At 35.9% G+C, this 15384-nt stretch overlaps 1 long non-coding RNA gene across 7 annotated transcripts in view; it reads left to right on the top strand.

The window, feature by feature from the left end:
- Positions 1 to 15384, top strand: part of LOC105377177 (uncharacterized) — a 250124-nt gene that overhangs the window by 121309 nt on the left and 113431 nt on the right. For 6 of the 7 annotated variants that reach the window (XR_940994.3, XR_940993.3, XR_940991.4 and 3 more), the window contains exon 2: positions 15069 to 15225. This is a non-coding gene — a long non-coding RNA (uncharacterized LOC105377177). Of the gene's footprint in view, positions 1 to 8133; positions 8440 to 15068; positions 15226 to 15384 lie in introns of those variants that run through there. The other variant, XR_001740790.3, reaches the window with a different exon arrangement.

The raw sequence follows: 15384 nt of genomic DNA, 5'->3' as shown, positions 1-15384 counted from the left end.
GACATACATTATTTGCATTTCTTGTAAATGCAAAATACATTCACCCCCTCCTAAAATTCCCAAAATTTCATCCTGTAATGAAGTCAATTTCAGTTTTTAGTTCCCAGATCTTGTCATTTAAACCAGCTCCAGGTGACAATAAGGCTATTTTGGAACAATTTTTCGTATTTGGATTCTTAAGTATTATTTCTGTTTACCTAAAGTTGCAAACTATAGGAGCAAGTCATCTGTCCTCCTCACACCTGACATACAAAGGGAAGAGACGTGGGAACCTGCAGTAGATGACTCTTATTCTAAACAAAGGAGAAAAAGGAAGGCATGGAGAAGTCACAGGTCCAGGGGAATTCTAAAATATAGTCAGTCTCATGTCACTTGTTCCTTGATTAGCGCCCAGTCCTGCTCTGGGAGGGTGGTTCTATGTGGATCTTCATTCCGCCTGCTAAGTTCTGTTTTTGGAGTCATATTTTTTGCATATTAAATGGTCCTACTTCCTTGCTTCTGTCCCTCCCTCTCCTCTCCCTTTCTCTCTTTTCTTTCTTTATCTTTCTTTCTGTCATGCTAAATAGATTTCATAGCCTGCTTCCGCCCATGAAAAATTGATGCTACTATTGTAATTGTTTTAGGGCACCACAAACTGCACCCATAGAAGATGGTGACCTTAATTTATACATAAATTAGCCAAAATAGGTAAAATTACTTTAAAAATTTTTGGACTTTAAATTATAATCCACTTCATTAGACAAGTCACCCAAGTCAGAGCATCTTAGGGCAATACCCTTGAGAATATTACAGGACTGCTTGTCTAGCAGAGAGGATTTATGAACCACTGCATTACATGTTTCTGAGGGTTTAACTGAGAGTCTCAGAGTGTCATTCTTGAAAACATGACCAGTGTCCCGAATTCATTCGTTGCCCTCAAGACATTTTTTATTTTAAGAGTATTTTCCTGGGAGAGATTGGAGATTAGAAAACATTTCATTTCTGAACACAACAAATGCTGCCTCAGAAATAATTTCTCTATTTTCTACTTTGAGACAGAACATTTCCTTTTTCAGTTTTTCTCTCTACCTGTACATTATCAAGCAGAGCTACAAGAAACCAGATGGACTTCATAAAGTTTTACCTTGAAATCTACTTAGCCAAGTCTACAAATTCAGCAGAAATGTATTCTACTTCCACTTTACCACACATGAGGGTATAACCAATTTTTGTCACTAAAAAACACATTTTTGTAAATAGCCTCATAACAAATTGCTACCTGTCATTTATGAACAGTCTTTTTAAGGCCTTTTAAACAGGCCTGCTGCCCATTCCCAAGCCAATCTCACATATCTTCATTAAGGAAAAAAATTCACAGTAGCAATTCACTCTCACAAAGTAATTTCTTTTCTCATTATCTATATCTTTGTACCAAATCACCCCCAAACCTTATATAACACACAATCTCTCAAAGCCAAAATTTGTCATCATCTCTCATATTTCTGATGGTTAATTGTCTCAGGTGGATATTTGATGCTTTTGGTTTCTTGTGTGGTTCCAGATAGAAGGCAAATAGGACCAGAGTCATGTGTAAGCTTGACTGAGCGAATAGGCAAGGTGTGTTCCTTACGTATATGCCTAGAAACACAGATTGGATGCCTGGAACATCTGAGGTTTAAGGGTTTTTTCTTCTCTCTCTCTCCCCCTACTTCTCTGTCCCTCCACGTGATCCCTTCATGTGGCTTCTCCATGTGGCTAGCTTAGGTTTCCTCACAGCATGCTAGTCTAGTGTATTCAAATCCTTTACACTGAAGCTGGCTTTTCCCAAAGCATGTATGCTAAGAAAGAAGGATCAGAGATTGCCAGTAGCATTAACAAACTGGCTTAGTTTGTTAACTATGTTTTTTTATTGGTGAAACAGTCACAGAGCCAATCCCCATTCAAGTGAAAGAAGAATAAACCTCACATCTTGATGGGAAAAGTGGTAGACAGTGTACCAGTTTTAACCTGGGACATGATATTTTGATTCTTTTTTCAAGGAAATTTCTCTTGGACAAGGATTAAATTCTGCTCTTGTATATGCCTTTATTCTCTACCTATTTATGAATGATTCAAGGCTAGGACAAGTGTATTAGTTCATTCTCACACTGCTATGAAGAAATACCCAAGACTGGGTAATTTATAATGGAAAAAGGTTTAATTGACTCACAGTTCTGCATTGCTGGAGAGGCCTCAGAAAACTTACAATCATGGTGGAAGGCAAAGGAGAAGGAGGCACCTTCTTCACAGGGTGGCAGGACAGAGTGAGTGGAAGCAGGGGAAATGCCAGAGGCTTGTAAAACCATCAGATCTCATGAGACTCACTCATTATCAAGAGAAGAGCATGGGGGAAACAGCCCCCCATGATCCAATTACCTCCACCTGGTCCTGCCCTTGACATGTGGGGGATTATTGAAATTCAAGCTGAGATTTGAATGGGGAAACAGAGCCAAACCATATCAATAGGTAATGCAAGTAGGAATGTGGACCATATGTGATATCATTGTAGTGGGTGAATTCTCTTATTTCAATAATCTATGGTAGTCATGTTGGGAAAACCTGTTAATACATGCCACTGGGTAATTTCCCTGTTTCAATATTTTTCAATTCCACATTATTTCCATTTTATGCAAAAGCTTGCTTTCTTTATATTACTCACTTTCTGTTTATTTTATCAAAGTCTCTCAGTCCCAGGTGAGTACAATTAAAGGGTCATATGAAAACCTCTCTATTTGAGGAATGCAAAATAATTGAGTCTGAATTTGAGAAAGATATATGCCATTATCCACATTATGCTGAACACTTAAAACTTAGTATACATATAGATACAAAAAGTAAAAATATGTAGAAAACTGGACACTTATAGATATCAAAAATTAAAAATACATAGAAAACTGGACACAATAAAAATTTTTGTATTTCTTGCTCAGCCCAAGAACTTCCTATTCTAAGAAGAGCAAAACTATAGTCACCAATTTTGTTGGCATGTTGTTAGATATAAACACATATATAGTCACAGATGCACATCAGCAATTAAATATATATATATACACACATATATATGTGTATATGCACATATACACATGTTTATGTGTGCGTATATATAAAACTATATGTGTGTTTTCCATGTGTCCTTATTTTACAAATAATAGCATACAGTGTGTACACTGTAGCACACCTTGCTTTTCTTTGGTGATAGCAACATAACTTATAAGTTTTTCCGTATTAGTCCTAAAAGAGCTTCATAACTGATTCATTATCAATCATGCTAAAGGAAATCAGTTTTCTTTAAGCTAACTTTTTCTTAGTTTATTTACAGATATAGAGTATGTCATTGCTTATCATAGTGTACAATAGATTATTTAATCAATTTTCTGTTGCTGAACATTCATTGATGATATTTTCTATGAAAAATAATGTTGCAATAAATAAGGCCAAAAATACATCATTATTTTAAAAATATGAATATAGTTTTATGATATAAAATTATTCAATCATAGGATATGTATACTTTTAATTTGGAGCCTATAGCAAAATTACCCTTTGTACAGAAAATACCAGTATATTCACTTTATTGCAGTATCTCTTATGTTAATTCTTGAATACATAGATAATGTCAAATATTTGATCTTTGTCAACCTGAGAGGTGAAAAATGGTAACTTGTTTTATTTTAAATTCAAATTTGTCTTATAAAAGATGTTCAAAGTCTTTTATACAAATAAAATGTAAATACAAATATTTACATTTTATTTTCCATTCTTTTCCATTATTTTTTAATTTTTATGATATTTTGCTCATTTTTGACCATGTTGCTAAGTTCTTATTGACTTACAGAAGTATATAGGTATATATATGTGTGTATATATGTATATATATATATGTATATATGTGTGTATATATGTATATATATATGTGTATATATGTGTGTATATATGTGTATATATATGTATATATGTGTGTGTGTGTATATGTATATATGTGTGTATATACATATATACACACATATATACATATACACACACACACACATATATATATATAAAGTTCTGAATTTTGTCAATAAATTGGATTTTTTTAACTCATTGTATCTATCAGGTTCTCCAGAAAAAGAGAAGCCATAAGAAAATTAACAGAGAAATAGAGACAGAGACAGAGAGATATAATTTATTTAAAAAATGGGCTCACATGATTATGGAGGCTTGGAAACTTTGATATCCTAAGATCTGCAGCTGGCAAGCTGAAGACCCAGGAGAACTGATGTGTAGCTCCTGTCCAAATCTGAAGGCCTGAGAATCAGGAAAGCTGATGCCATAAATTCCAATCTGTGTATGACTCTGAAGACAGAATATCAATGTCCCAGCTGGAGACAGTCAGGCAGAGACAGAGAATTATTTCTTACTCAGCCTTTTGATATTATTAAGGCCGTCAAGGAATTGGATGAGACCCACCCACTCTAGGGAGGGTAATCTGCCTTATTCAGTTTGTCAAATCGAATTCCATCTAGAAACACCCTCAAAAATACACCTAGCATAATGTTTAACCAAAGATCTGGGCACCCCATGGCCCAATCAAGTTGACACATAACAGTAATCATCACACTCATTTTTCATCTATCCTTTGCATATTTAGCATAGATTTTTCTTTAATATTGTGAGATTTATCAGTATTTTTTATAGTCCTAAATTTTCTGTTTTGTTTTAACAGGCTGCCTTTTGGGTGAGGTAGAATGAAAATTATTTTTATATTTTTTTTCACACTTTATGGTAAAATTTGGATTTATTTTGTTGTAAATTATGAAATATATATCTAATAGTTTTCCAGATGGCCACTTAGTTCCACAAATATTGATTGTTGCCTAATCCAATTGATATACCTCAATTTTTAGATACCTGTTTTACCATATTCTAAATTTCCATACATGTGTATATCTATTTCTGGAGTTTCCTTATTCTTGGGGTTTTTTGTTTGTTTTTGTTTTTGTTTTTCTTATCCAAGTAGCAGTACCACATCAGGTAACACTACATATTTGTTAGACCAGTTCTGCCTTTAAGAGGTAAAGTTGGGCTAGAAGGAAACAATTCTGTTTCAGCAGAGTTGTAACCTTCACTTAAATAGATGTTATCATAAATGACAAAGTACTCCCTGGAGAAGCACTTTAGATCCTGTGTTATTTTCCTTGGCCTGCCATAACAAACTACCATGAACTGGGTAGCTTAAAACAACACAAATGTATTCGGTCACAGTTCTAGGGGCTGGAAGTCTAAAATTAAGGTGTAGGCAGGGCTGAGCTCCCACAGAAGTCTGTAGGAGAATTCTTCTTTGCTTATTTCTAGCATATGGTGACTTGCTGTCAATCATTGCCATTCCTTGGCTTGCAGTTGCGTAACTCTGCCTATGATTCTGTTGTCACATAGCATTCTCGCTGTGTGTCTCTGCCTTCACATGGCCACATGGCCTTTTTTATGAGGACACCTGTCATATTGGATTAAGTGCATACCCTACTCCAGTATGAGTTCATCGTAGCTAATTACATCTACAATGATCCTGAAGCACTGGGGATTAGCACTTCAATATATCCTTTGAAGGAATGGGGGAATGCAAATTGTTCCCAGAGTTTGATAACATTTTTAGCTTTCTGCTTGGTGTCTTGACTCCACTGAATTCCTTCAGTAACTTCTGGATATGTAACTCTTGTATGATTACCCAAACTGTTTCAGTGACTAGTCTATCTAAAAATCTGTGGCTACTATTGACATTTATGAATAGCATGATTGTATAACAGATGATTTGTCCTACAGAAAATATTTTATATACACACGTTTATACAGCTGTATCAACTTATTTTACACACTTGCCTAATTACCAAATTTTAGTACTTCATATGAGTGAACATTTGAAGGTATTAGTAATTTTTATTTTCTTTTTTATTCAAAGTCTACTCTGTGGTCACCATTATGTCCTAAAAACTGCCATGGGGTTGTCATTACAGAGTAAAAGCCAAACTTCTTACATTCCCCTGCAGAAATTGTCGCCGAATGCACCTGCCTCTTACACCTCTGATCACATCTTCAACTATGCTCTACTTGCTGACTCTGTTCCACATTTTCTACATTGGTTTTGTATGTAATAGTCAGAAGATAATATTGTCAAAAAATAGAAAAACACAGTGAGCCATCACTTTCTAAGTAGGACTTCATGTATAATTTACTTCATCTATAGATAAATATAAATTCCTGTTAATGATTACCAATGAATCAAATTCTTACAATTTGTAACTGATTAGTTTTAAATAACACGACAAAGTTGTGTTCCAAAGCATTACAACTTATTGCTGGTAATGTTTTTGGTCAATACAGCAAGTCTCAATTTTATAGAAATGCAGTGTTTTAATTATACTTAGATTATGTGATATAGATTTATCTTTTGTCCATTTTGAACACAATTCTTGCTTAGACAATTATATCAAACCACGTTTAAAGATGACTACCTCTAAAGAACAGAGATAATCTTCTGGGGTCTCTGTAGTGAATTGTGTGCCCTTTAAATTCCTATGTTGAAGTTCTAACCCCAAATTCCTCAGAATGTGACTATATTTGGATATCAGGCCCTTAAAGAGGTTATTATTTTAAGACGAGGCCATTATGGTTGGCCCTAATCAAATATGACTTGTGTCCTTATAATAAGAGGAGATTGGGACAAAGAAACACACAGAGGGAAGACCATGTGAAGACAAGGGAGAAGATAGCTAGGTACAAGGCAAGGAGAGAGGACTAAGCCTCAGAAGAAACCAACCCTCCTCACACGTTTGTCCCAGATTTCTAGCCTCCATAATTGTAAGATAATACATTTCTGTTGCTTAAGCCATCCCAAATGTGTGCTATATTATTATTACAGCCGTAACAAACTAATACAGTCTTCAAAAAGGAAACCAAGCAACAAAAATGTGGCATTGACGTCTAAGTCTATTCAGGCAAGAAAGCCTCTGAATCCAGCAGATACATGTTCTGACAGTGAGATTATTTGGTATCGTAAGAATATCTGAACAGGCGTAACATCATATATCTGCATGAATCATCTTTCAGCACTCAGTGATTCTAGATTTAAAAATCGACGTTGTGAAGAAAATTTCTGGCTGCAAATTCTGTTGATCTTAGGGAGTAGATGCACTTAATATCAAGCCCAGGCAATGAGATTATCAGAAAGCTATATATCTTCCCTGAATATCCACAATTGATACTATTTTATATTTCTTGCCAGTGTGTAACGACAAATAAAGCTTCTATATCTGAATATGATAAATTTCAGAATCTTCCACATAGTTAGCAGAAGGGGGCAACTCTGGTGCATGGTAACCACACTACGGGAAGGAGGAACATTCTGGTGAATGGTGACCATGGCAATAAACTGACTACTATTAGGCCATTAATGGCAGTAATCTGGCCTTGCAAGCCACCACCCTAACTTGATGTTGTCAAACTGTGATGACATAGCATTTCATAACCTTGGACTATTCAAACTAGTACTATCATTGAAATGATGGAGAAGGTGGCCGAAAACAAATTGAAATGATAGAGGAGTGATAACCTTTGTTATAAGCTAAAATTTGAATATATAAATTAACAATAGATGAAAGTTTAAAAGGGTTTTGTGCCTCTTAATAGAAAAAGAAATATTGGGTTAATTTTTGCCTATTTGAAATAGATTCATTTTGTTTTGTCTTAAATTCACTGAAGTAGAAAATTAGCATGAGGTTATGAAAATAAAGAAAAAACTCATTGTGAACTAAAATGAAAAGTAATTAATTGGCACACTTTCAGCTGCTTCTAAGAGAGAGAATGCATTGCAAAAAAAAAAAAAAGAATTAACACTGGAAAATAATCTAAATAGCAAAGGTCAAAAGTACTGCTTTCATTCAATTGAATTTTACTTCCTTCCTTTAAAGTATTTTTACACGTTCTTAAATGAATATGTTCTAAGAGTATTTTTAAATTAAATAAATGATCATTAGATAATATTTGTCTGTGCTCGGATGACCGGCAGTGCTATTTAATAAGCCACAGATGTTATTCCCTTTGTTCTTGAACTGTCAGTAAAGGAACCCTTCACTGGTTACTGTGGTGGTTCATTTAGTGCCCAGATAATTGGTCTAACATTATTCTGGATGTTTCCATGAGCATGCTTTTGGATGAGATTTAATTGGTAGACTTTGAATAAAGCATATTGTACTTTATAATATTGGCTGACCTTATCCAATTAGTTGAAGGCCTCAATAGAACACAAGGCTGATCTCCCCAAACAAGAGAGAATTCTCCAGCAGACTGCCTTCAGACTTCAACTGCAGCATTGGCTGTACCTGGTTTTCCAGCTCACTGTCTTTGGACTTGAACTGCTCCTGAGTCTCCAGCCAATCAGCCTCCCAGGTCAGATTTTGGATTTACCATGCCTCCACAATCACATGAGCCAGTTCCTTAAAATAAATCAATCAATCTGCCTATCTGTCTATCTGTCCACCCACCCATCCATCTACCCAACTAGCTACATCCTACCAATTCTATTTCTCTGGAGAATCGTGACTAGTAAGTCACCAAAAATGTTTTTCAATATTCTCCTCTCTCTTGACTGGCCTAAAGTTTCTGCTTAAGATACTAGATTTGAGGCTATTCAGAAATCCTAAGAAATTACCCAGTGTTTCTGTTTAGACGTCAGTTTTTAATCTTATTTTGGTTCTATTGTATGTAAGAAGGAGTTTTTGTTTCTTCCATGATTTTCTCTTTGTCATTGTCTTTCAACATTTTAACTATTTTGTGGCTGGGTGCACAGGACCTCCTTGCATTTATACTATTTAGAGTTTGTTGAATTTCTTGATTGTGTGTGGAAATATTTTCATGAAATTGGTGAGATTTTCAGTTTATTTCTTTTTCTTTTCTTTTCTTTTTTTTTTTTTTTTTTTTTTTTTTTGAGGCGGATTCTCGCTCTGTTGCCCAGGCAGGAGTGCAGTGGCGCGATCTCGGTGCACTGCAAGCTCCGTCTCCCGGGTTTACGCCATTCTCCTGCCTCAGCCTCCCCAGTTGCTGGGACTACAGGAGCCTGCCACCACGCCAGGCTAATTTTTTTATGTTTTTAGTAGAGGCAGGGTTTCACCGTGTTAACCAGGATGGTCTCGATCTCCTGACCTCGTGATCTGCCCCCTTCGGCCTCCCAAAGTGTTGGGATTACAGGCGTGAGCCACCACACCTGGCCTCAGTCATTATTTTTTTAAGTATTTTCTCTGCCCCTTCCAATCTCTCTTCTCCTCTGATATTCCCATTACAGGCATGGTGATGTGCTTCATGGTGTCCCACATTTCTCTGAGATTCTGTTGATTTTTCCTCATTCTCTTTTTATCCCTCTGGTTTTCAGATCGCTTAATCTCTATCAATCTGTCTTTAAATTTGCTGTTTCTTTTGCCAGCTCACAACTACTGGTGAGAGGCTGTAATGATTTTTTTGTCATTTCAATTATTGTACTTTTCACCTCAAAATTTCTATTTGATTCTGTTATAATTTTAATCTCTTTATTGATGTTCTTGGTTTAATGAAAGTGTCATTATACCTTGCTTTACTTCTTTAAGCTTGGTTTTCTTTAGTTTTTTTGAATATATTTATACTATCAATTTAAGCCATTGTCTCCTGATACCCCACCCTTTTCAAAAAGTCTCTTTTGCTTGTTTTTCTTCTTGTGTATCAAATTCCTGTTTCTTTACATATCTTATAATATGTTGTTGAAAACTGAATATTTTAGATAGTATACTATTGCAATTCTACTGAGTTGCTGAACCTGAACTCACTTCCAGAGCCTGTTGTTGTTTGCTTTTATTTAGATACTTGGCTGCGCTACTTTAGTGAAGCCCGTTTTCCCCGAAGTATGTAGCCTCTGATTTCATTTCTCAGAGCCTGCAAACCATGGCTCACTCATAGGGCATAAGTAGCATGCTGAAAAAAGTTGTTCTAAGGCGGCACACAGCCACCCTAGAATGACAGTACTTTAGCAGGGTTCCCTTTGACTGACTTTTTCCCTGATGGTCTGTTAAAAATCTAGTAGATCTACCTCTGTTGACATCACACTTATCTTGTAGCCTCCACTATTTGCTCACTGAAAACAAAAACAGTATTGTTGTCAATATCCCGGGCATAAACTCTTCCAAAACCTAAAACGGTGAAATTCGGGATCTTTGCAGGGAGAATCATTGAGTCATCTTGAATCTTGTTTTGATCTCAGGAGATCTCTCTTTTAGCTGTTTCTTTGCATGGTTTTCTCTTTTAATGTCTAAACTTGTTTAGCTTGTTGCTATTATGTAGCTACCGGACTCCTTATAATTACTTTTCACAAAAACCACCATTGTTTTCGACTGTATCCTTAGGCTTGATGTTCTCACAAATAAAGTTAGTTCATTCACAGAGAGCAACAACCCTGTTTTTCCTTCTGGGATAATACTGTGTGCAATTTCTCTGAAGCTGGTGGCAGGAACAGTGGCTGATTTCCGTCAAAATGGCGGCCCTTTTTATGCATGGGTTATTCGGTCAGGGCAATAGTCCCAGGTCTTCTCAACGCCTTCCAGAATGCCCTATGAATGAGGCATGGCAGGGTGATTGGGGTCCAAGATTTTTGTCTCGTAGAAGTAGACTTTCCACCCTACCAATGAGGGTGAGATGTCCACAGCCTTCCCGTTCTAGGGAGAGAGCCTTAGCCTGGGAACCTGAGGGGAGAGGGAACCATTTGTTCTTGACGACATATTCCAGAATAGAGCCTTCAATGCCTGGGCTCGGACATCAGACAGGGAATAGCAGATTGCAGAACAAGTGCACAAGATTTTGTTTCTCTTACCAAGATTTAGAAGATTTTCTTTAATGTTTCTTCATTTGCTGTATGTTCTATGGGTTAAGATTTACATTTTTTAAAATATAGTTTTCAAAACTTATGATTTGTTTTCCAAGGAAGAGATACAAAATACATAGACACAATTAAAAAGTTCTGAAATATCCAAGCTCAGATTAAAGAGTTGCAAAAGAAACAATTTGTCTATGACTCGTAAACCACCAATATATTCAAGGTATTTCATTCTCAGATAAACAAAGATACAAATATAGATATAATGAAATATTTTATATCCCACTGGTTATGAAATATTTTATATCCCACTGGTTACATATCCCATATGAGATGCAGATGATGAAAAATTATTCTATACATTGTTAATAAATAATATACACAAGTTTGCACAAGGAATATCCAGCATGATTTCAGGACTTTAAACAGTATATTATAAATCAATATTATTACCTTTTAATGCTATCTTGGCCAGTTGCTCAGTGCTGTAGTTCCACAAATGTCTGGACATAACCAAAGAGCTATTTCACATCAGCTGCAAGTTAATCCTAATTTTATGTAGTATGTTATATAAAGAGAACTGGAAGAGACAGCCCACTCATACTAGAAAGAGAACAGTATACATGTAAGCATATTTGTTTTTAATCTTCTTTCCCCTTTTTAAATTAGAGGTGATTCATTACTCTTTCTAAATGAGTTGGAAAAGAAGTAAATAGATTGAATAGAAACCAGAAGATTTTCAGTATTGGGTAAAGGATTATATTAGTAGCTTAACAAAGTAAATGTATGGCTGTCGTTTCTTTATATTAAAAATAATGGCAAGATAATCTTAGAAGTGCATTAGAAGTACAGTTTTTCATAGGGTTTTAAATGATCATAAACATTCTATAGCACTTAACATGCAAAATTAGTTTATTAATTTGAAATAATTTCAAAGCATTTTTTGTATTTATAAGATAATACATATATTCAGTTTATACATTTTCTACAATCTTACATATTTGTGCTGGATGGTTTTTAAAGGGTAACACATAGAGGTATTGTTGTGGGAAGTCAGGGACCCCAAACGGAGGGACTGGCTGAAGCCATGGCAGAAGAACATGGATTGTGAAGATTTCATGGGCATTTATTAGTTCCCCAAATTAATACTTTTATAATTTCTTATGCCTGTCTTTACTGCAGTCACTAAACATAAATTGTAAAGATTTCATGGACACTTATCACTTCCCCAATCAATACCCTTGCAATTTCCTATGCCTGTCTTTACTTTAATCTCTTAATCCTGTCATTTTATAGCTGAGGAGGATGTATGTCACCTCAGGACCCTGTAATAATTGCATTAACTGCACAAATTTTACAGCCTGTGTGTTTGAGCAATATGAAATTTGGACACCTTGAAAAAAGAACAGGATAACAGCAATTGTTCAGGGAATAAGAGAGATAACCTTAAACTCTGACCGCTGGTGAGCTGGGCGGAACAGAGCCATATTTCTCTTCTTTCAAAAGCAAATGGGAGAAATATTTCTGAATTCTTTTTCTCAGCAAGGAACATCCCTGGGAAAGAGAATATGTGCCTGGAGGTATAGGCTTATAAACAGTCCCCCTAGGTGTGCCGTCTCTTATGGTCGAGACTGCAGGGGTGAAATAGACCCCAGTCTCCCATAGCTCCCAGGCTTATTAGGAAGAGGAAATTCTCGCCTAATAAATTTTGGTCAGACCGGTTGATCTCAAAACCCTGTCTCCTGATAAGATGTTATCAATCACAATGGTGCCCGAAACTTCGTTTGCAATTTTAATTTCACCTCGGTCCTGTGGTCCTGTGGTCCTGTGATCTCGCCCTGCCTCCACTTGCCTTGTGATATTCTATTACCTTGTGAAGCACGTGATCTCTGTGACCCACACCTATTCGTACATTCCCTCCCCTTTTGAAAATCCCTAATAAAAACTTGCTGGTTTTGAGGCTTGTGGGGCATCACAGAACCTACCGACATGTGATGTCTCCCCTGGACACCCAGCTTTAAAATTTCTCTCTTTTGTACTCTGTCCCTTTATTTCTCAAGCTGGCTGACGCTTAAGGAAAATAGAAATGAGCCTATGCGAATATTGGGGCAGATTCCCCGATAAGGTATAACTTGTTTTATTGAACTTCACTTCATTGCTCTTTGCATGTAATGCATTTTTTACAAACTGAAGGTTTTTTACAAATTGATAGACTTGCATTGAACAAGTCTATCAGCACCATTTTTACAACAGCAAGTGCCCTCTTTTTGTCTTTGTCACATTTTGATAATTTTCACAATTTTTAACTTTATATTATGATTATATATGTCATGGTGATGTGCGATTAGCAATCCTTGATGTTACTAATTGCTTTGGGGTGACACAAACTGTGCCTATGTTAGTAGTCAAACTTAATAAACAAATGTTTTATGTGTTCTGACTGCTCCACTGACCAGTGTTTCCCTTGTCTTTCCCTTGTCTGCCTTCCTCTCCTCAGGCCTCTCTACTCTCTGAGACACAACAGTATTAGAATTAGGCCAAATAATAAACGTACAATGGCCTCTAAGTGTTCAAGTGAAAGGAAAAGTTGCATGTCTTTAACTGTAAATAGAAAGGTAGAAATAATTAAGTATAGTGAAAAAGGTATGTCAACAGCTGAAATAAGCTCCAAACTAAGCCTCTTGTACCAAATAGCTATATTATGAATGCAAAGGAAAAGTTCTTGAAAGAAATTAGAAGTGCTACTCCAGTGAATGCACAAATTATAAGAAAGTAATACAGCCTTATTGCTGATATGGAGGAAGTTTTGGCTATCTGGACAGAAGATCAAATCAGCTAGAATATTTCCCTTAGCCAAAGCCTAATTCAGAGCAAGGCTCTTACTCGCTTTAATTCCATGAAGGCTAAAGGAGAGGTGAGGAAGATGCTGAGAAAAAAAAAAAAAAAAGAGCTTGAAGCTAGCAGAGGTTGGTTCAGAGGTTTGAGAAAGAAAGCAAAACATAAAAGTGCAAGGTGAAGCAGCAAATGCTGATGTAGAAACTAGCAAGTTACCCAGAAAATCAGGCTAGGATCATTGATGAATGTGGCTATAATCAACAACTGATTTTTAATATAGACAAAACAGCCTTTTATTCGAAAAACTTGCCATCTAGGGCTTTTATAGCTAAAGAAAGGTTACTTCCTGGCTTCAGATCTTCAAAGGACCGATTGACTCTCTGAATAGAAGCTTATGCAGCTGGTGGCTTTAACTTGTTGCCAATGCTCATGTACCGTTTCAAAAATCCTAGTGCTATTGAGAATTACGCTAAATCTACTTTGCTTGTGCTCTACAGATGAAATAACAAAGCATGGATAAAAACATAACCTGTTCACAGCATGGTTTACTGAATATTTTAGGCCCAATGTTGAGCCTTCTACTTAGAAAAAATATTTCTTTTAAAATATTACTGCTCACTGACAATGCACCTGGTCACTTGGTGGCTCTAATAAAGATGTCTAGGGAGATTAATGTTGTTTTCATTCCTGCTAACACAACATCCATTCTGAAGCTCATGGATCAAGGAGAATTTTGATGTTCAAGTCTTATGATTTCATAAATACATTTTCTAAGTCTATTGTTGCCAAAGATAGTGATTCTTCTGATGGATCTGGGCAAAGTCAGAAAGGATTAACCATTCTAGATCTCATTGAGAACATTTATGAATCATAGGAGGTCAAAATATCAACATTAACAGGAGTTTGGAAGAAATTGATTCAGCCCTCATGGTACCTTTGAGGAGCTCAAGACTTCAGTGGAGGAGATAACTGCAAATATGGTGGAAATAGCAAAAGAACTAGAATTAGAAGTGGAGCTTGAAAATGTGACTGAATTGCTGCTATCTCATGGTAAAACTTGAATGGATGGGAATTTGCTTCTTTGAATAAACAAATAAAGTAGTTTCTTGAGATGAAATCTAGTCTTGGTGAAGATGCTATGAACATCGTTGAAACAACACAGGATTTACGATATCGCATAAACCTAGTTTATAAAGCAATGGTAAGATTTGAGAGGGTTGACTCTAATTTTGAAAGATGTCCTACTGTGGATAAAGTGCTATCCACAGCATTGCATGCTACAGAAAAATCTTTCATGAAATGAAGAGTCAATTGATACAGCAAATTTTGTTGTTATCTTATTTTACAGAAATTGCCACAGTCACCTCAACCTTCAGCAACCACCAACTTGATCAATCAGCAGCCAATAACGTGAAGTCATGACCATTCACCAGCAAAAAGTTTATGATTCACCAAAATATTAGATGATCATTAACATTTTTAGCAATAATGTATTTGTCATTAAGGTATGTACTTTTTTTAGACATAATACTATTGCATACTTAGTACACTACAGTACAGTGTACACATAACTTTTATATGCATGGGGAAGCCAAAAGAATTCATAGGACTTGCTTTATTGTGATATTCACTTTATTGCAATGGTCTGAAAACAAACCCACAAT

The sequence above is a fragment of the Homo sapiens genome, chromosome 3, assembly GCF_000001405.40.
Source record: "Homo sapiens chromosome 3, GRCh38.p14 Primary Assembly".
Classification (NCBI taxonomy): Eukaryota; Metazoa; Chordata; class Mammalia; order Primates; family Hominidae; genus Homo; species Homo sapiens.
Note: the sequence above shows the minus strand (reverse complement) of the source record. Positions and strands in the feature narration are given on the sequence as shown.